This window comes from Homo sapiens, chromosome 1 (genome assembly GCF_000001405.40).
Source record: "Homo sapiens chromosome 1, GRCh38.p14 Primary Assembly".
Taxonomy (NCBI): Eukaryota; Metazoa; Chordata; class Mammalia; order Primates; family Hominidae; genus Homo; species Homo sapiens.
Window position 1 is genome coordinate 35878881 of NC_000001.11, and position 19821 is coordinate 35898701.

The 19821-nt window shown below is 47.1% G+C and overlaps 1 protein-coding gene across 4 annotated transcripts in view, besides 5 other annotated features; it reads left to right on the forward strand.

Moving 5' to 3' along the window:
• The window catches only part of AGO1 (argonaute RISC component 1), a 60772-nt gene that overhangs the window by 9120 nt on the left and 31831 nt on the right, over positions 1 to 19821 (forward strand). For 3 of the 4 annotated variants that reach the window (XM_011541236.3, NM_012199.5, NM_001317122.2), the window contains exons 1-8: positions 4329 to 4566; positions 9547 to 9730; positions 13677 to 13797; positions 14217 to 14398; positions 14794 to 14930; positions 15157 to 15291; positions 15435 to 15522; positions 16242 to 16389. In XM_011541236.3, coding sequence (XP_011539538.1) covers positions 4542 to 4566; positions 9547 to 9730; positions 13677 to 13797; positions 14217 to 14398; positions 14794 to 14930; positions 15157 to 15291; positions 15435 to 15522; positions 16242 to 16389 — 1020 coding nt within the window. In that variant the 5' untranslated portion in view covers positions 4329 to 4541. Of the gene's footprint in view, positions 1 to 4328; positions 4567 to 9546; positions 9731 to 13676; positions 13798 to 14216; positions 14399 to 14793; positions 14931 to 15156; positions 15292 to 15434; positions 15523 to 16241; positions 16390 to 19821 lie in introns of those variants that run through there. The other variant, NM_001317123.2, reaches the window with a different exon arrangement.
• Positions 4092 to 4551: a silencer, noted in NCBI's record as "silent region_649". NCBI's record gives its function as "represses an Ori minimal core promoter by ATAC-STARR-seq in GM12878 lymphoblastoid cells {active_cell/tissue: GM12878}" and the evidence as "EXISTENCE:reporter gene assay evidence [ECO:0000049][PMID:35858748]".
• Positions 6902 to 7541: an enhancer, noted in NCBI's record as "OCT4-H3K27ac hESC enhancer chr1:36351383-36352022 (GRCh37/hg19 assembly coordinates)". NCBI's record gives its function as "activates a minimal SCP1, AML or CMV promoter by ChIP-STARR-seq in naive H9 embryonic stem cells {active_cell/tissue: H9 hESC(naive)}" and the evidence as "EXISTENCE:reporter gene assay evidence [ECO:0000049][PMID:30033119]".
• Positions 8179 to 8238: an enhancer, noted in NCBI's record as "active region_739". NCBI's record gives its function as "activates an Ori minimal core promoter by ATAC-STARR-seq in GM12878 lymphoblastoid cells {active_cell/tissue: GM12878}" and the evidence as "EXISTENCE:reporter gene assay evidence [ECO:0000049][PMID:35858748]".
• Positions 15259 to 15308: an enhancer, noted in NCBI's record as "active region_740". NCBI's record gives its function as "activates an Ori minimal core promoter by ATAC-STARR-seq in GM12878 lymphoblastoid cells {active_cell/tissue: GM12878}" and the evidence as "EXISTENCE:reporter gene assay evidence [ECO:0000049][PMID:35858748]".
• Positions 15308 to 16507: an enhancer, noted in NCBI's record as "MED14-independent group 3 enhancer chr1:36359789-36360988 (GRCh37/hg19 assembly coordinates)". NCBI's record gives its function as "activates an origin of replication core promoter dependent on BRD2, BRD4, P300/CBP and CDK7 cofactors, and independent of MED14, by STARR-seq in HCT116 cells {active_cell/tissue: HCT116}" and the evidence as "EXISTENCE:reporter gene assay evidence [ECO:0000049][PMID:35650434]".

The following is a 19821-nucleotide window of genomic DNA, read 5'->3' on the forward strand; positions in this document are numbered from 1 at the left end:
TTTTTTCCTCAGTTGTTTTTTTTTTTAACATTAAAAGAGGAAAATGTAGATTGGGATGCAAACTTTTCTCAGGCCATTCTTATTATATTGGCTCCAGGAAATTCTTTGTATAGAGAAGATATCTAAGTAGAAGACTCTGGCCCACACAGCAGAGGCCCTTAGGTGTGAGTTAGCTATGGACTGAGATGCAAGGATGAAATGGAAACAGAAGGAGCCAATAGGTTTGGTGGAACATATATCAGGGATTACTGAAAGAAGTTTATCAGCATAAAAAAGTAAAATGCAGGGGCTGAGCACGGTGGCTTATGCCTGTAATCCCAGCACTTTGGGAGGCCGAGGCGGGTGGATCACCTGAGGTCAGAAGTTTGGACCAGCCTGACCAACATGGAGAAACCCTGTCTATATTAAAAATACAAAATTAGCCAGGTGTGGTGGTGCATGCCTGCAATCCCAGCTACTTGGGAGGCTGAGGCAGGAGAATCGCTTGAACCCGGGAGGTGGAAGTTACTGTGAGCCAAGATCGTGCCATTGCACTCCAGCCTGGGCAACCAGAGCAAAACTCCATCTCAAAAAAAAATAAAAAAAAGTAAAATGCAGCTGGGCGCAGTGGCTCACTCCTGTAATCCCAGCATTTTGGGAGGCCGAGGTGGGCGGATCACCTGAGGTCAGGAGTTTGAGACCAGCCTGGCCAACATGGCGCAAAAATTAGCTGGGTGTGGTGGCATGTGCCTGTCACCCCAGCTACTCGGGAGGCAGAGGCACGAGAATTGCTTGAAGTTGGGAGGCAGAGGCTGCAGTGACCCAAGATTGTGCCCCTGCACTCCAGCCTGGGCGACAGAGTGAGGTTCTGTCTCAAAAAAAAAAAAAAAAAAAAAAAAAAAAGCAAAATGCTATCTGGATTTCCATTTTACTCTGCCACTTTGCCTAGCTGAGAGTGAAGTCCCTGATTATAGGTGCACTGTACAGAAGGACTTTGAGAGGCTGGGGCCAGGCTTGACTTCACTAGCTGCTTTGGAGATGGGTCAGAATAGTGACTACTGCCTTTGCACAAAGTTAAGTATGAGGTTGAGTATTTAGAACAGGGGAGTCAGACTCTTCTTATGGAATGCTGAGGTTCCAGCTCAGTTACATCAGGGCAGAGGTCTTTCTGAGACCTTTGAGAGTTTTTTGAGAGTTTTTCTGAGTGCTTTTTGATGCCATCTTGTTGATTCAGGTAAACCCAAATTTACTGATCATTCTAGGCACAGCTTGTGCCAAGCACTAAAGGAGGACAGCAGTGTATCTGATATTGTCCCTGTTTTTAAGGAACTTAGATGGTAGTGTGGAGCCAGGTGTGGTAGCTCACCTTTGCCCTGGTGTAACTGAGCTGGGACCTTTGCCCTAGTGTAACTGAGCTGGGACCTCAGCATTCCATAAGAAGAGTCTTTGGGAGGCTGAGGCAGGGGGATTGCTTGAGCTCAGGAGTTCAAGACCAGCCTGGGCAATATAGCGAGACCCTCATCTCTACAATAAGTAAGTAAATAAATAAATAAAAAGTCAGGCATGGTGGCATGCACCTGTAGTCTCAGCAACTCGGGAGACTGAGGTGGGAGAATTACTTGCGCCTGAGAGGTGGAGACTGCAGAGTCCAGATTGTGCAGCTGCACTACAGCCTGGGTAACAGAGTAAGACCCTGTCTCAAAAAAAGAATATAGTGTGAGAGGCAAGTAATGATTATGATAGCAGCTGATATTTTGCTTGCATTCTTTTTAGGCACTGTTCTAAAGTGTTTTTGTTTCGTTTTGTTTTTTGTTTTTTGAGATGGAGTCTTGCTTTGTCACCCAGGCTGGAGTGCAGTGGCATGATCTCAGCTCACTGCAACCTCTGCCTCCCAGGTTCAAGCGATTCTTGTGCCTCAGCCTCCCGAGGAGCTGGGACTACAGGCGTGTGCCATTATGCTCAGCTAATTTTTGTATTTTTAGTGTAGATGGGGTTTCACCATGTTGGCCAGGCTGGTCTCGAACTCCTGACCTCAGGTGATCTGCCTGCCTTGGTCTCCCAAAGTGCTGAGATTACAGGCGTGAACCACTGTGCCCGGCCACTGAAGTGTTTTTATGTATTAACTCATTTAATCTTCACAACAACCGAATGAGGTAGGTACTATTACCACTGCCATTTTACAGAGGAGGAAATTGAGACACGGAGAAGTTAAATAATGTGCCTACTATTACATGTCTAGTAAATGCAGGGCCAATATTGAAACCGAGACAGTCTGGCTCCAGAGTCTTTGTTCTTCACCTCTACTTCGTATGTAAAGCAGTAATTCTCATAGTCCCCAGATCGGCAGCATCATCAGCCTTATCTGGAAACTTGTTAGAAATGCACATTTTTGGGTCCCACCCAACACCTACTGAATCGAAAACTCTAGAGGCAGGGCTTACCAATCCAAGTTTTGTTTTTTGGTTTTTGTTTTTTTTTGAGACGGAGTTTCACTCTTGTTGCCCAGGCTGAAGTACAATGGCGTGATCTCAGCTCACTGCAACCTCCCCCTCCCCGGTTCAAGCTATTCTCCTGCCTTAGCCTCCTGAGTAGCTGGGATTACAGGTGTCTGCCACAACACCTGGCTAATTTTTTGTATTTTTAGTAGAGACGAGACTTCACTATGTTGGCTAGGCTGGTCTTGAACTCCTGACCTCAGGTGATCCACCCGCCTTGGCCTCCCAAAGTGCTGGGATTACAGGCGTGAGCCACTGCGCCCAGCCACCAATCCAAGTTTTAACAAGCTTTCCAGGTGATTCTGATGGTTGCTGTTTGAGAACCTCTAGAAGCAAGGCATGGTATAAGTGTCAGAAATTAATCTCCTCATGAGTAAGGACCGGTTATGGTCCATCCCTTAAGTTCCCAGCCTCTGCATGGCATCTAGTGTAAAGCAGGCATCAAAAATTTGTGAGTTTATGGGAAAGTGATGTTTGAGCTGGGTCTCTTACCCCGCCTATCACTGCACCAGACCGAATAGGAGGGAGAATGGGAGTTCCCAGAAACTTTGAGACTAGCAAGGAAGTGGTTGTGATACGTCTAGCAAGATATGATAAGGGTCTGCACCAGCATAAGAAACCATCAGAATGGCAGTGAATCATGTGAGAGCAGTTCAGAAGGTAAACATGTCAAGACGTGGTGAACAGCTGAATAGATGGAAAGAACAAGGGATAGAGGAACTGTCATTTCTGACATGAAGGTGCTGTTCGCTGAGATAGGAAGCACAGGGCAAGTATGTTTGTGAGTGAAAGATAAAGTGTTTGGTTTGGACTTCTTAAATTTGAAGTGCTGGTAGGATATCCAGGTGGAGCTGTCCAGCAAACACTTGGAAATGTGAGTATGAGACATGGTTGGAAACAGAGATTTGGAAGGATAGTTGGGCCGTAAGAGTGGATGAGACCTTTAAGGGGAGAGTGGAATGAGAAGAGAGCTGGGTTTGGAACCACAGTGAACAGTTAATGAGGCAAAAGCAAAAGGGGCCCTTTAGAAAGACTGAAAAGGACTTAGGCAATAGGAGACTGCAGAAGATGCCGCAGCCAAGTAGAAGGCTCAGAAGGGAAGTAGAGGCACAGTGACAGATGCTGCAGAGAAATAATTGAAAAGTATCCTTTGGATGTCAACCCCAAAAGTCATTTAAGTGACGTGATGAGGGCAGAAGCTGATTGACAGTTCAGGCATGAACTGTAGATGAGAAAGTGGAGGCAGGTGCTTCCCAGGTCCGGCGGATAGAGCTCTGTAGCTGCACTTAAGTTCAAACTGTGACATCTTCCAGGGTAGGCCGCGTCTCTACTTATCTGTGGTCTCAGCGTCCAGCACATGGCGTGGAAGAGGGGGTGGCGTCAGTGAGTTCAGTGACTAGGGACGGAGAAAGACTTCGTGGAGGCAGTCGCTTTGCAGCCAAGGCTTGAAGGATGAGGGTGATTGGGAGGAGAGGTGGGAGGCAGGGCCCCTGGGCGCTGGAGTGCCAGGGGGTCTGGGAATGAAGTGGGGTTCCCATAATGTGTGCGCGCAGCTCGGTGCGACAGGCGGGGGCTGTGTGTAGGTTTGGAGGGACCTATTTGGGGAAAAGACACAGGGCTGAAGGCTGCTGTGGCGGGATGTCCCTTCGCCCTGCCCCACTTATACCACTGCGCGGTTCCAAGGCACCTCTACTGGCGCCCTCCCGCCGGGCTGCATGGCGACGGGTGACCGCCAGGGGCCGCTGCCTTGGGTCCCCGGTGCCCCCGCCCCTCTCCATTGGCCTTTGTTGCCGTCGGAGCGCCCCGCTTGACTCGTTCCGGTCCGCCCCCTGGGCCCGGCGGTCGCGCCTGCGCACTGGCAGCTGGCCGGGCGCTCGCAGTGGGAGCTGCTGCAGGCTCCGCGGCGGCGGCAACGGAGGCTGCGGGGGCGGCGGCGCGAGCGGCCGGGCTTGGTAGGGGAGCCGAGCCCGGCCCGGGATCCCGAGCAGCGAGAGTGTGGGGTACCTAGGCCCCTCACGCTGGACTTCACAGTCTCCGGGCCGCCTGACCTCCGCACGGGTATATGGGATGGAAGCGGGACCCTCGGGAGCAGGTAAGGGTCCCCAGGAGGGGGAACGGTGCATGCTCCAAGGACTGGGGGATCCCGCATGAAAAGCGTGGTTTCCAAGTGATGGAAGCGCTCCTGAGTGAGGAGAAGGGCTCTCCCACGATGGGGGCCCAGTTTGAAGGAGGCTGTGTGCAGTTCCGGGGGAGAACCATGTGAAGAGAGCCCTGAGATGGGGGCTGTTTGTCCAAGGAGGCTGTATACAGTCCTGCGGGTTGGAAGTAATCTGGGAGAAGGGCCTGCACGCACGGAAGGACTCCCAGACATCCGTGGAGGCCTACGGAGAGGCCCGGCAGGTGGCAGGGGACGGGCTCCAGGTGTCCAGGAGAGGAGGGGGCGACACAGATGGGCCTGGAGCTACCGCATGCCGGGGGCGGGGGCTCCGCTGGGCTGGAATAGGCTAATGTCTCTTGGGAGAAGGCGCCAGAGCTGGACTGTGAGCTCCGCCCCACTGGGCCTGACGCGAGGGCGAGGGTCAGGGGGCGGTGGGTGGGGACCCAGTCCCGGGATTACCCCCCGTGGGTCTGGGGAGTCGGAGCGGAGGCTCCAGAGCATGCGCGGAGGTGGCAGCTGGAAGGGGCTGCCCGACGTGGTGGGGGCGTGGCTGTCCGAATACCCCCACCTCTCCACACCCCCCCGCCCCGCCCCGTTTGGCTTGGAAAAAGGAGCGCGCTGATGGGGTGCATTCTCTCTTAGGTTATGCTGGCAGTGTGCAAATGGTTATGGTCCCCTCCCCCATTTTAGGGGCTCTTACACTTGGCCCTCAGTCACAGTTTGCTAAGAATGGGTTGAGGGAAGCTGCCAAAGTGCATTTTTCTGCCACAGGAAAGACTGGGACCGAAGCGATGGGTTCTGGGGGTGGGTCCTCCTGAAGATAGGCCTTAGGAAAGGTATTGGTTACGGAGGAATCAAGGACAGGGCAGGGGCTACCTGGAAGGAGTTGTCTGCTTGGTTTGCAAGTTTCTGCTCCAATACTGAGTAGTGATGGGGGCTTTTAATCCAAAGATTTTCCATTGAATTGTCTGTTAAGGTTACACTCTACATTTATAACATTTATTCTAATATTTCTTAATATTTTCATGGCTCCTATCTTCCACTGGATATCTTTCCGTTTTCCTCTCCCCACTCCCCAGAAACTGTCAGGGCTGTCTTTAGAGCCAAGATCTAAACCCTACAAACACGTTGGAGGATGGGGGAGTTTATAGCCTTCATCCTGGTGAGGCCTAGGTGATAGCCTTAACTTCTTATTTGCAGGCAATGAGGAGGAAAAGACATAGGAACAGAGGATAAACTGAGGCAGGATTGCCTCAAGAAAACTGGAGTCCTTAGGATGGGCTGTGGGGTGGTGATACCTCTTGTGTCTTAAGTGTCTTACCCTGTGATGGGACGAGGAGCCTGGACCTGGGAATCCTTCAGGTCATCTCTCACCACTTCCTTACATTTGGTCTGGGGATGGGAATCAAATTTCCATTTAGGCCATGAACTTCATTACTTTCCTAGTGGAATTATTTTGTTTTTTTTGTAGCAGACCTAACTCCCTCCCACCCTCCCAAGGAAATAGCTCCTACGACCTCACTCAAGTTATCCATTTAGTGATCTCTAAGTACTTAGTGACTGTTTTCCCTCTTAACAACCAGCCTTGTATAGACTGTGTAGTCGTAAGGATAAGCACAGGGAGCAACTGACTTGAGTACTTCCTCTCTGTCAGGACCCTCTCTCCATCCCAGGAACTTCTGTTTTTCAAGGCTGGGGACTATTTCCAACAACCCATGAACTAGAGTAGTGGGGTAGGTCATTGAGGTCCACATGGATTGCTGGTTGCTGGTACCCATTCTAGACTAATGATTTTTATCCTGATGAATTCCTAATAGGCTCTGGAGTGATGAAAAATTGACTTTTTAAAAATTTGTTACAAAAAATAAGCTTATAGGAAAGGAGCTAGAACCTGCTGTTTGGAGTCAGCCAAAGCCTTGGGAAAAGCCGAATAGGACAGGCTTTGCCTCAGTAAAGGGTATAATTGAGATTCAGTCTGGAAGCTGCAAATTGAGGGACCCCATAACTGCCTCCTTCCTAGGCCCGGACTGTTCTCTTATAAGAAGTTAGAGTGGTGTCCCAAGGTGGCCTGAGGACATAATACACAAAACTAAAGCGTTGTGTAAAAAACAACAACAAAAAACCCCCCAAAAACTAAAGCATTGTTGCTAGCCTCACTGGGCTTATGCCCAGGTCTGCCTTCTGTGCTCAGGTGTGTTCCAAGCACATACAGTGGACTGGGTGCTCCCTGAGGGTAGAAGCAGTGTCTGGTTTATTTGTAGAACTAGCAAGTGCCTAGTGTATAGGCCCTGGCACAGAATACATGTTTATTAATTAAATCAAATCACATTCAAGTGTGAACATAAATGGTTAAGCACGTATGTGGATATTTAATAAAGTGTATACTCACATGGAACAGATCCTTTTTGGAGAGATTGGCTTGTTAGTCTTTGCTTGCCCACCAGCTAACCTAACCTAACCTAACCTTGAATTTGTGTCTTTTGAATAGGCAGTCTGGCTCCTTGGGAGGTGTGTGGGCCTCAGAACTGCAAGAAAGGAATCCTGAGCCAGGGTTTTCAGCTCTGTTACTTTTCCTTCTCTGGGCTCCTTGGGGATGGGGGAGGGGGAGTGTCCTTTTCAGGGCCCCTCCCTCCTTGCTTTTGTCTGAAGAGAAGGGTCCCGCCCCTTTCCCCCTAGGCCCAAGCTTTGTCCTCTGTGCTGGGGCCCTCATCTGCATCACAAAGTGGCCGTCTGTCCCTGTCTGGGTCTGTAGGGAAGTGTCTCCCTTTCTCAGACTAAAAGCTGGGGTAAGGGGGGCGGGGAGGAGACAGTGCTGTTGTTAGGCTTTCAGGGGGATGTAATGGGAGAGAGGTTCCTGCTTCCTGCTGTCTTTCCTAGTTTGGAGATGAAGTGGGGGTGTGGGCTCCCCTGTTTTCCCAAAGCCTCTTTGGAGAGGAAGGTGCTCTAAGGCTATGTGTGGTATGTAGTCGGGTTTCTGGGGAAGAGAAGGCTTTGAGGCTAGAGTGTCTGTCCCATCCCCCATCATTTCTAACTAGCCCCCCAGCTCTAGGAGTTATCTTTCTCCGAAGGCCCCAAATGATTATTCAGTCTGGGAGGGGAAGAAGGTGAATGAAATATAAGAACTTGGGGAGGGAAAGGATGTCTCTTACTGGCTACACCCACAAACGTGCATATTTGTCTTGTGTAGTGTTTATAATTGTTTCTGGGCAATTGCAGGTGTTCGTGTGTCTGTGTGCTGTGTGTGCTTGTGTGTTTTTGTGGTGTGTCTATGGATATGTTTGTTCATTCATTTCATATCAGTATGTTGAATACTTCCTGTGTGTGTGTCAGACACTGGAAATTAAACAGTGACCAAGGCAGATATAGTCCCTGCCTTTGAAGAACTCAGTCTAGGGCAGTGAAGGATATGTGTGTAAGTGTAAATTGCCAAGGTCTAAGTGTGTGTTTGGATGTGTGTGATGGGGATGTGTGTCTGTCTGTCCGTGAGCTTGTGTGCAATTTCTGTCCAGCACTTTCTGAGGTAGGCAGCCAGGTGCTAGTAGATAGGTTTTCCCTTCCCCATGTAGCTGAGTTCTGAAGACCTTTTCCATCCAGGCTGGGCCTTCATTTCCCTGTCTGCAGAGTGGGACTGGGCTTGGACAGGTGGTTAGAGGGAAACAGAGCAGCTTAGCTCTGGGAAGCTGCCCCTCCCATGAATGGTTCTGACCTCTTCCTGACCCCCAGCTGAGGGTATGCCCCATCCCCCCAGCTTGTCTGACTGTGAAAGCAGAAGTCTGATAATGGGAGGTTCTGGGCTGGTTTATCCCTCTCTTCTCCCACCTGGGCTAGTTCTCTACTGCCAAGAACAATAGCAGCATATTATTCCCTTTTTTTCTCTCTTCCCCCCAAGCTAGAAAATAAGACTGGAGACAGCAGCCAGACTGGCAAAAGAGGGTAAAGTAGCTGGATCTGGCCTTACCCTATCCCTTTCCCAAGGGCCTCCTCTGTCTTGAAATTGATCTCTTCTGCTGCTGTCTGGACCTTCTGTGTGGAAGGATCTGTGGGGCATGGAGAGAATCTTGTGTTCTTCCCAGAGCCAGTGTCTCTTCTCCAGCATTCTAATTGCCACCTCTTCTTCCCAAACCCGTTAGTTCTTTCTTTATTCAAGCTTTTTTTTTTATCATTGTCTCCCCAGTTGCTGCTTTGTTTCTTCCTGCCTGAGCTTCCAACCCTAACCTCTTTTGCCCCACCCCTTGACTCCAGCCTTCTCTTTCTCCTGGCCTTTTTCTTTTGTGACCTCCAGCTCTGTCCTCTTCTCCAACCCCCTTTCTCTTTTCCTTAGTCTCCAAACTCTGTCCTTTGAGCCTTTTCTCCTTTTCCCTGTCTCCAACTCTCGCCATTCAGTTGCCTTAATTCTGCCTCAAACACTGACCCTGCCCTCTCCAGCCTGGCCTTGTCTGGATCTTATTCCTGCCCACCTATAAAGGAACATCAAGGTTATGCCATTTTGTATTCAGCATGGTGGCGAATGGAGTGAGCATCTGGCTGGCAGAGAATAGAAATTCTTGGTCTGCTAGATACCTGGTGGAGGCAAGTGTCTTACTCTACTAGAAGAAAGAAAGGGTTTTGTTACTAGGAGCCAGATTTAGTCTCTCTGCTTAACATGCAATAGGAACTTATTATATATTAACTTAATGAATTAAAAATAGACAATAAGGATAATTTTCCTAACTGGAGAGAGATTAAAAAAGAAAAAAGAGAAAAAACACAGATGAGCTTGAGATGTCCCCTGGAAGCCCTTGGCTGGGTTGGGTAGCAGGAAAGAGGCATTCTCTATACTCTCGTGTTCCTGTTCTGGGAGGCCTTGTTCCTCCTCTGATAAGAGTAGTTAGGAGATTGCCAGACTTTACCCTCACCAGCCTCTTTGTCTTGTAGCTGCGGGCGCTTACCTGCCCCCCCTGCAGCAGGTGTTCCAGGCACCTCGCCGGCCTGGCATTGGCACTGTGGGGAAACCAATCAAGCTCCTGGCCAATTACTTTGAGGTGGACATCCCTAAGATCGACGTGTACCACTACGAGGTGGACATCAAGCCGGATAAGTGTCCCCGTAGAGTCAACCGGTAAGTGATGCACACCTAAGCCACCAAATCTGAAAGACACCAACCTTGAAAGAGGGGCCAGAAAGGTAAAAGAAAAACCAGTAGAGGGTAGTATCACCAAATCTAAGGAAGTTTTTGAACGGGAGATGCCACGTCGGGTAAATGCTGAAAAATAGTCCAATTGGACTTCGCTATTGGAAGATTATTAGTGGCTTTTGCCAGAGCAATTTCAGCAGAAAGTAGTTGAGCTAGTTAATCTAACTACATTGAGTTAAGAAATAAGTACAGTACCTACTACATTTCAATATTAGTTGAATGAATAAAGAGTTTTAAAGAATGAGATATGGGTATGTTTACAGATTAAGGAGAAGGAGCTAGTAAAGAGGGAGAGGTTAAAGGTATGGGACAGAGGGGAGAAATGAATGGGATGTCCTTGATGAGGCAGAAGGACAGAGGGGAGAAATGAATGGGATGTCCTTGATGAGGCAGAAGGACAGAGGGGAGAAATGAATGGGATGTCCTTGATGAGGCAGAAGGACGTTGTAGGATGCACAGTTGGAGGGATTAGCCTTATTTAGAGGAAGTGATATTTCCTTTTTTTTTTTTTTTTTTTTGAGAGGGAGTTTTTCTCTTGTTTTGTTTTTGAGAGGGAGTTTTGCTCTTGCCCAGGCTGGAGTGCAATGGCGCGATCTCAACTCACTGCAACCTCTGTCTCCCAGCTTTAAGCTATTCTCCTGGCTCAGCCTCCTAACTGGGATTACAGGCATCTGCCACCATGCCTGGCTAATTTTTTTGTATTTTTAGTAGAGACGGAGTTTCACCATGTTGGCCAGGCTGGTCTCTAACTCCTGACCCCAGGTGACCTGCCCACTTTGGCCTCGCAAAGTGCTGGGATTACAGGCGTGAGCCACCGTGCCCGGCCTCTGTGATATTTCTTTAATTAATTTTATTATTTGAAAACTATATGTATAATATTAAAAAATTCAAATATTACAAAAAGAATAATAGTGAAAAATGTCTCCTTACTATCCTGGTCTCTAGTCCCCCAGTACCATTAATTGTTACCTTTTTTTCTTTTTGAGAAAGAAAAATTAGATTTTTCTTTCTCCCTCTGTCGCCCAAGCTGGAGTGCAGTGGCGCCATCTCAGATCACTGCACCCTCTGCCTCCTAGGTTCAGGCAATTCTCGTGCCTCTGCCTCCCGAGTAGCTGGGATGACAGGCAAACGATTCTCCTGCCTCAGCCTCCTGAGTAGCTGGGACTATAGGTGCTCCCCACCATACCCAGATAATTTTTTGGTATTTTTAGTAGAGACAGGGTTTCACCATGTTGACCAGGCTGGTCTCAAACTCCTAACCTCAGATGATCTGCCTACCTAGGCCTCCCAAAGTACTGGGATTACAGGCGTGAGCCACCGTGCCTGACCAATTGTTACCATTCTCTTCTTTTTTTGAGACGGAGTTTCACTCTGTCATCCAGGCTAGAGTGCAGTGGCGTGATCTCGGCTCACTGCAACCTCTGCCTCCCGGGTTCAAGCGATTCTTCTGCCTCAGCCTCCCTAGTAGCTGGGATTACAGGCACCCACCACCACGCCTGGCTAATTTTTGTATTTTTAGTAGAGACAGGGTTTCACTATGTTGGCCAGGCTGGTCTCAAACTCCTGACCTCAAGCAGTCTGCCCGCCTCAGCCTTCCAAAGTGCTGGGATTACAGGCATGACCCATCATGCCCGGCCAATTGTTACCATTCTTGAATATGCTTCCAGATACTTTTCTACATATATACAGGCATATATGCACATATAACATTTTTAAACACCCAAAACATAGGGTTCTTTATACATTGTTCTATACTTTGCATTTTTCCACTTAACAATATATTTTTGAAGATATTACATACCGGCACATATGGATCTGCCTCATTCTTTTGCATAGGTTGAGTGGCTGTAATATAACTTATGTAATAAATCTATTGAGGAACATTTGAGTCTAAATTCTGCTACTAAAATGAAACTGTTGAATATTATTATATATAGATTCATTTTTGCACTCATATGAGTATATTTGTAGGATAAATTGCTAGGAGTGGGACTGTTGGCCTAATACATTTCAGAGTTTTCAGATATTGCAACTTGTTTTTAAAGGTAAGTTGTATCAACTTATACTCCCATCAATAAGGCATCAGAGTGTGTCTTCCTATACCTGCACCAATCTAATATTTCAGATTTTTTTGATCTTTGGCATTCTGATCTTGGTCTAATTTTAAATTATATTTTTCTAATAAGTGAAGTTGAATATATTTTCGTATGTTTAAAAATAATGTATGGAAGGGGCATTTTGAGTATAAGAAGAAAGGAGAAAAATTGATGCACACACATATAAATATGTTTGTGTATATGTCTGGAAACTCGAGGGTGGCCTTGCGTACTATCCTCTGCCTTTTTCAATATTAGAGCTGCTTCCTGGTAGGAGACAAGTACGGGGTCTGGAGTTAGAGGCTAGTGGAGAAAGTTCTACATAGTCTACATAGTGTAGGAGGGATAGAAGTAATCAGGGACATGAAAAAGATTGCTAGGCAGCACTGAAGCCTAATTGGGATTGAAACCATATGATCACAGTGCTTCTAATGTACCATTTTGAGTTATCCAGTAGTAGTCAAGAACTTTGATCTAGAAAGTGTGAAGGTCAGTTGGTCAGATAAACTGGAATTTTGAAGGAATAATGGACACCCTGGGGTCTAAGTTTCAGAGGTCAGGAAGTAAGAGATGGTAATGGAGAAAAAATAGGGTGGTGAGACTAAGTGCTTCAGAGAGATGGAAGAGATGAGATTTTTCTTCCACAGTTTATTCTTATTCCAGTTCACATCTCTTCTACCTTTTTTGCTTATCAGATCTGGGATTAGAGATCTGGGATTAGATTGGAGCAGCCTAGATTCTGTTCCTGATTTTTTTGTTTTGTTTTGTTTTAATTTATTTTTTATTTTTTATTTTTTTTTTGAGACGGAGTCTCACTTTATCGTCCAGGCTGGAGTGCAGTGGCATGATCTCGGCTCACTGCAACCTCTGCCTCTCAGGCTCAAGTGATCCTCCCGCTTCAGCCTCCTGAGTAGCTGGGACTGTAGGCACACACCACCTTGCCTGACTAATTTTTGTATTTTTTGTAGAGATGGAGTTTCTCCATGTTGCCCAGGCTGGTCTCAACCTTGGGAGCTCAAGCAAATTGCCCGCCTTGGCCTCCCAAAGTGCTGGGATTATAGGCATGATCCACTGCACCTGGCCATCCTTTTTTTTTGTTTTTTGTTTTTTTTTTGAGACAGGGTCTCGCTGTGTCCCCCAGGCCGGAGTGCAGTGGTGTGATTATAGCTCACTGTAACCCCAAACTCCCAGCCTCAGGTGATCCTCCTGCCTCAGCCTCCCAAACAACTGGGATTATAGGCACATGCCACCATACCCAGCTAATTACAAACATTTTATTTTTTTGTAGAAGATACGGTCTCACTCTGTTGCCTAGTCTAGCCTTGAGCTCCTAGGCCCAAGTGATCCTCCTGCCTTGGCTGCCCAAGTACTGGGATTACAGGTGTGAGCCACCATACTTAGCCCTATTCCTGATTGTTGATAGACCCTGGAGTCAAGCTTTTCTCCCTTTAGCCTCCCCCTCTTCTCAGAAGGCACTCACACCACTCTTTCAGGTCCATTACAGCCTTGGTGATCTGAGGACCAGCAGTGTCACTTAGGAGCATGCTAGAAATGCAGAATTTCAGGCTTCGCTCTAGACCTGCTGAATCAGAAGCTACATTTTAATAAAATCTCCAGGTGATTCATAGGAATATTAAAGTTTGAGAAGCACTGTCATAGAGTAGATGTTAGGAGTGAGTATAATAGATGGGACATTGCCTGGACTTTGAATTACTTCCAAAACTTGAAGTGGTGGTAGTCTCTCAGCTTCCACAGGCCACTCCTATCCCCCACAGGGAAGTGGTGGAATACATGGTCCAGCATTTCAAGCCTCAGATCTTTGGTGATCGCAAGCCTGTGTATGATGGAAAGAAGAACATTTACACTGTCACAGCACTGCCCATTGGCAACGAACGGGTAAGGTTGGGAGTCAGGCTAGGCCTGTGTCAGGGGTCTGGGGTAGAACCAAGCTCATGTAAGCCTCTTTGGAGATCCAGAGATCCTTTTCATCTTTTGTGCTGAGAAAGTATGTTTTAGGGTGAGGGGTGGGTAGGTGCTGATGTTTATTTAGTCTATCATGTGCCTGTCCGTGTCCTAAACAGATTGAGATTAGACTTAAAATAGACCTAAGGGCTTCCTGCTAGGCTGAGAGGTAGTTGAGAGGAACAGAAGCACTGAGCCAAGGTGGCTAGAACCTAAGGGGCTAGACTTACTCTGGATTTTCATTATGAGCCCCTATCAACTTGAAAAACATGTTCTCAGCAAATCCATGGAGTTGGGGGTCATTCTCGCAGAGCAATGGCAATCCTTCATCCCTTTCTTTCACCCTCCTGAAGGTCGACTTTGAGGTGACAATCCCTGGGGAAGGGAAGGATCGAATCTTTAAGGTCTCCATCAAGTGGCTAGCCATTGTGAGCTGGCGAATGCTGCATGAGGCCCTGGTCAGCGGCCAGATCCCTGTTCCCTTGGAGTCTGTGCAAGCCCTGGATGTGGCCATGAGGCACCTGGCATCCATGAGGTATTGGGTGTAGTTAGTATCTGGGCTACTAGTGTTGGCAGAACTGCTGTCAGGGGAGGAGGGGGAGCACATATTAAGGTCCCACAGAGTGCCATTAAAAAAAAAAATTATTTGAAGCCCTACCACTTGCCAGGCAAATGTGTATTTATATTTAGATGGTTTAAAGCCCTGGCCCTGAACTTCTTAGATATCTTTGGGCCTCATCCCATCTGTCCCTGCAGGGCAGAGAGAAGGTAGAAACTTGTACAAGGTCAGTCATACAACTAGTAAAGCATCAGAGCTGGCATTAAAGCCCCGGTGTCCTGCCTTTCAGGCCAGGGCTCCTCCGTGCCCAGGATGCCTCACAGGGTGGGGGCCTGTGCCCGAGGGACCAGTTCTCTGCCTGTCCCTGCCAGGTACACCCCTGTGGGCCGCTCCTTCTTCTCACCGCCTGAGGGCTACTACCACCCGCTGGGGGGTGGGCGCGAGGTCTGGTTCGGCTTTCACCAGTCTGTGCGCCCTGCCATGTGGAAGATGATGCTCAACATTGATGGTGAGTGGGGAGAGCTATGGAGCCAGGGGCACCCCAAGTCCAGTGACCACACTCCCAGCCTCATCCCTCCCAGCTCTGCAACCACACTCCTAGTCTAATTCCTACAGCCCTGGCACCCCCTTCCCCCATCCCAATGCCCTTTAAGGAAGAGGGTATAAATTGCTGTGCCTCCATGTATTGTGGAAGACAGAACCTGAGCTGAGCTATCTTTACCCTGTCCCCACAGTCTCAGCCACTGCCTTTTATAAGGCACAGCCAGTGATTGAGTTCATGTGTGAGGTGCTGGACATCAGGAACATAGATGAGCAGCCCAAGCCCCTCACGGACTCTCAGCGCGTTCGCTTCACCAAGGAGATCAAGGGTGAGGACCCAACAGGAGGGGAAGGGAAACAGCGCCACTTTAGCCCTAAGAGGAAATCCCCTTGGGGTATGCTCAGGGGAGAGACCAAGCCTGGGCACATGAGCAACCTATTTTAGCCCTGACAAGCAGTGTGTGTATCTCAGGCCTGAAGGTGGAAGTCACCCACTGTGGACAGATGAAGAGGAAGTACCGCGTGTGTAATGTTACCCGTCGCCCTGCTAGCCATCAGACGTAAGTTGGCAGGGGTGCTGAGTCATACTTTGTTGGTGGAGAAGGGCTGAGATTTAAAACTATCTTTCCCTCCCTCCCTCCCCCACTGGCCTTGAGAATGAGCCTTGGGGACTGGCCCTGTTTTTGAAGATAAGCTGTGGGAATTTGGCATCCTTTCTCAACCTTCTCTGATCTGTTGATACTCTCCCTACCATTTTTACCTTCTTGATCTCCTCGCCTCTTTGGTTCCTTACTTGAGAACAAGTGTGTTCTCTGATTCCTGTTAGGGTTAGGCAAATGTTAGAATCTCTCTCAAATTATTCTTTCTCTTGAAAAAAGAAAGCGAGGCTCCTGGGCTCCTTGGGGAAGCTGTCATTGATTCCATTCCCATTCTTGACCTTAGGCTATACTGATTATTATGAGTGTCTACTCTGTGTCAGGCTTTATGCTCAACATTGGAAATAAATGAGTCAGATAGTGTCCTGACTTCTGACTTTTGTGGAACTTGCCTTTCAAACCTTTGGCTTCTCTCTTGGAGCCCTGTATGTCCTGTTTTCCCATGAGTGGCAATGCTCAAAGAAGTTGGATAGGATGAAGCAAAGTCTGGGACTTCCTTCCTGCACATCATATTGGGGCCAAATGAAAAAGGAAAAAATCTGAGGCTTCCATGGTTGTGGGTCTAGAGAAGTGGGACTGAATGCTGGGTTATGACACCCCCTTCCTTCCCTTCTTCTGAACAGATTCCCCTTACAGCTGGAGAGTGGACAGACTGTGGAGTGCACAGTGGCACAGTATTTCAAGCAGAAATATAACCTTCAGCTCAAGTATCCCCATCTGCCCTGCCTACAAGTTGGCCAGGAACAAAAGCATACCTACCTTCCCCTAGAGGTGAGATTGCCAAGTAATGGCTGGGGAATAGGCATTGTATATACCTGCATGCTGATCATCAGATGTCTGTTCTTTCATTTTGAAGTTTGGAAAACTGACATTCTGAGAAGGTATGAGGTAGTTCTCCTGTGAAATAGAGGCCTCATTCTTACCTGCTAAGTTGTTTCCTTATCCCCCATCCTACTCTCATGTTCTTTCAGGGCTGCCAGGCAGAGACAAGCTGAATTTACTGTTTAATAAGTAATTAGTTCGTAGAGGACAGAGATTTTAGATACCCACACTCATGTTCTCTTAATTTCTCTTCCCCTGTTGTTTAGAGCTGGGATCCTAAGTGACCTGAAGATATAAGTCTACCTTATTCTTCACAAACTGGTGATAAATACTACCTATAATGTAAATCATGTTTCTCCAAGGATTAATGTGTTCCTTTTGAAAAAGTTTTAGCCCCAAGATTGTCATACTTTTATAAGTCAGTAGACCTTTGGAATTCTGCAACTAGAGGAGGAATAGTAACTAACACTAAGTTATAGAATACAAATACAGAATCACTGGGCTATATTTTGTTTGGTATATACTAGCCAAAATATTGAATGAGAAACTACTGCCTACTGCTTCATTGTCTCGTCCAATGCTACTCAAAAAGTGTGGTCATGTGTACCAATAGGATAGGCATTACCTGAGAGCTTGCTTAAAATGCAGATTTCAGATTCCACCCATACCGACTGAATCAGAATCTTTTTTTTTTTTGAGATGGAGTTTCGTTCTTGTTGCCCAGGCTGGAGTGCAATGGCATGATGTTGGCTCACTGCAACCTCTGCCTCCCGGGTTCAAGTGATTCTCCTGCCTCAGCCTCCTGAGTAGTTGGAATTACAGGCATGCGCCACCACACCCAGCTAATTTTGTATTTTTAGTAGAGACGGGGTTTCTCCATGTTGGTCAGGCTGGTCTCGAACTCCTGACCTCAGGTGATCTGCCCACCTTGGCCTCCCAAAGTGCTGGGATTACAGGTGTGAGCCACCGTGCCCAGCCAGAATCTGTCCTTTAACAAGATCCAAAGGGAATGTACATTAACGTTGGAGAAGCACTGTACTAGACTACCCTCTTTTTCTTTTTTGTTTTTTTGAGACAGAGTCTCGCTGGAGTGCAGTGGCACCATCTCGGCTCACTGTAACCTCCTCAGCCTCCCAGGTTCAAGCAATTCTCATGCCTCAGCCTCCAGTAGCTAGGATTACAGGTGTGCGCCACCGTGCCCAGATAAGTTTTTTTTGTATTTTTAGTAGAGATGGGGTTTTGCCATGTTGGCCACACTGATCTCCTGGCCTCAAGTGATCTGCCTGCCTCGGCCTCCCAAAGTGCTGGATTACGGGCATGAGCTGCCACGCCTGGCCTACCCTCTTACTTTTATCCAACAGCAGAAGTCAGATAGCCCAGACCAAAGCTCTAGTCTTCTGGTGAGCTTCTAGGATTTCAGAACTAACCTGAGGGAGTTAGGCTGAAGGGAGAAGAGATCCCCAAAACCAAGAACTCTGACTTGGTTAATAGCTACTGATGCACATGAAGGCAACATGTTCTCTGAGGTATAAACAGAGGTCTTTAGGGACAATCTTAGCTAAGTAGATAGTAGGTGATATTTACTGTAAGCAGAGATTTGTTAGCAAATTAACATTATTTCTATTTAAACAGCAGTTTCCAAGGGGTATAATTTATGTTATGACTTAGACCTTGATTTCTGTTGTTGCTTATTTAACATATATTTATCGAGCTCCTACTATGTGTCATATACTCTCAGGTGCTAGGAACATGGAGATTAACAAGACAGACAAGGTCCCAGCTGTTATGGAGCTTACATTCTAGAAGGGGGAGATAGACAATAAGTTGATAAACACGTAAAGTAGTTTCAGATGGTGATAAGTGCTATAAGAATAATAAAATAGGTTAAGGGGATAGAAGTAAGGGAGGAAGAGGGTAGAGAGCTATTTTAGTTGTTAGGGAGGTCCTCTTTTAGGAGACATTTGAGCTAAGTCCCAAATTATGACATAGAATCAACCTTGTAACAACCTGAGAGAAGAGCCTTCCAGGCAGGAGGAAGTACAAAGGTTCTAAAGCAGAAGAGAATTTGGATCTTTTTGAGGGATAGACAGAAGGCTATGGTGGCTAGAATGTATTGTGTGAGGGGAAAAGCAGTAGGATATGATTCTGCAGAGGGTCAAATAATATAGCCTGTTGAAACCACGTGGCATTTTATTACTGTTTTTTGGAAAAGCTTTATCCAGGTTGGCTGTGTGGCTCATACCTGTAATCCCAGCACTTTGGGAGGTCAAGGCAGGAGGATTGCTTGACTGCAGGTGTGGTGTGGTCCCAGCTACTTGGGAGGCTGAGGTGGAAGCATTGCTTGAACCCAGTGAGCTGTGATTGTGCCGCTGGATTCTAGCCTGGGCAACAGAGGGAGACCCTGTCTCAAAAAAAAATAAAAAAACAGCTTTATCGAGATATAATTCACATACCATAAAATTCACCATTTTAAAATGATTAGGTAGTTTTAGTATATTCACAGAATTGTACAACAGCCATCACCACTATCTGATTCCAGAACATATCACTCCTGAAAGAAAGCCTGTATTCATTAGCAGTTATGCACCATTCGTTCTCTCCCCAACAGCCTGTAGTAACCACTAATTTACTTTCAGTCTCTGGGTATACCTATTTTGGACATATCATATATGTGAAATAATACAATATGTGGCCTTTTTTGACTGGCTTCTGTCATTTAGCATAATGTTTTCAAGGTTTATCCTCGTTCCATCAGATGGATATGTCATATTTTGTTAATTCATTTATCAGTTAATGGACATTTGGATTGTTTCTACTTTTTGGGTATCATGAATAATGCTGCTGTGAACATTGATGTACACATTTTTGTGTGAACATAAGTTTTTATTTCTCTGGAGTATACACCTAAGAGTGATATAATATATAACAATGTTTAACATCTTTTTTTTTTTTTTGAGACGGAGTATCGCTCTGTTACCCAGGCTGGAGTGCAGTGGCACGATCTCGGCTCACTGCAAGCTCCGCCTCCTGGGTTCACGCCATTCTCCTGCCTCAGCCTCCGGAGTAGCTGGGAATGCAGGCGCCGACCACCACGCCTGGCTAATTTTTTGTATTTTTAGTAGAGATGGGGTTTCACGGTGTTAGCCAGAATGGTCTCGATCTCCTGACTCATGATCCGCCCGCCTCAGCCTCCCAAATTGCTGGGATTACAGGCGTGAGCCATTGCACCTGGCCAATGTTTAACATCGTGATGAGCTGCCTGATTGTTTCCCAAAGTAGCTATGATATTTTACAATCCCATCAGCAAAGAATGACAGTTGTAATTTCTGGCCAGGTAGGATTTTATTCTAATTATAATATGAATCCATTGGAAAATTTTAA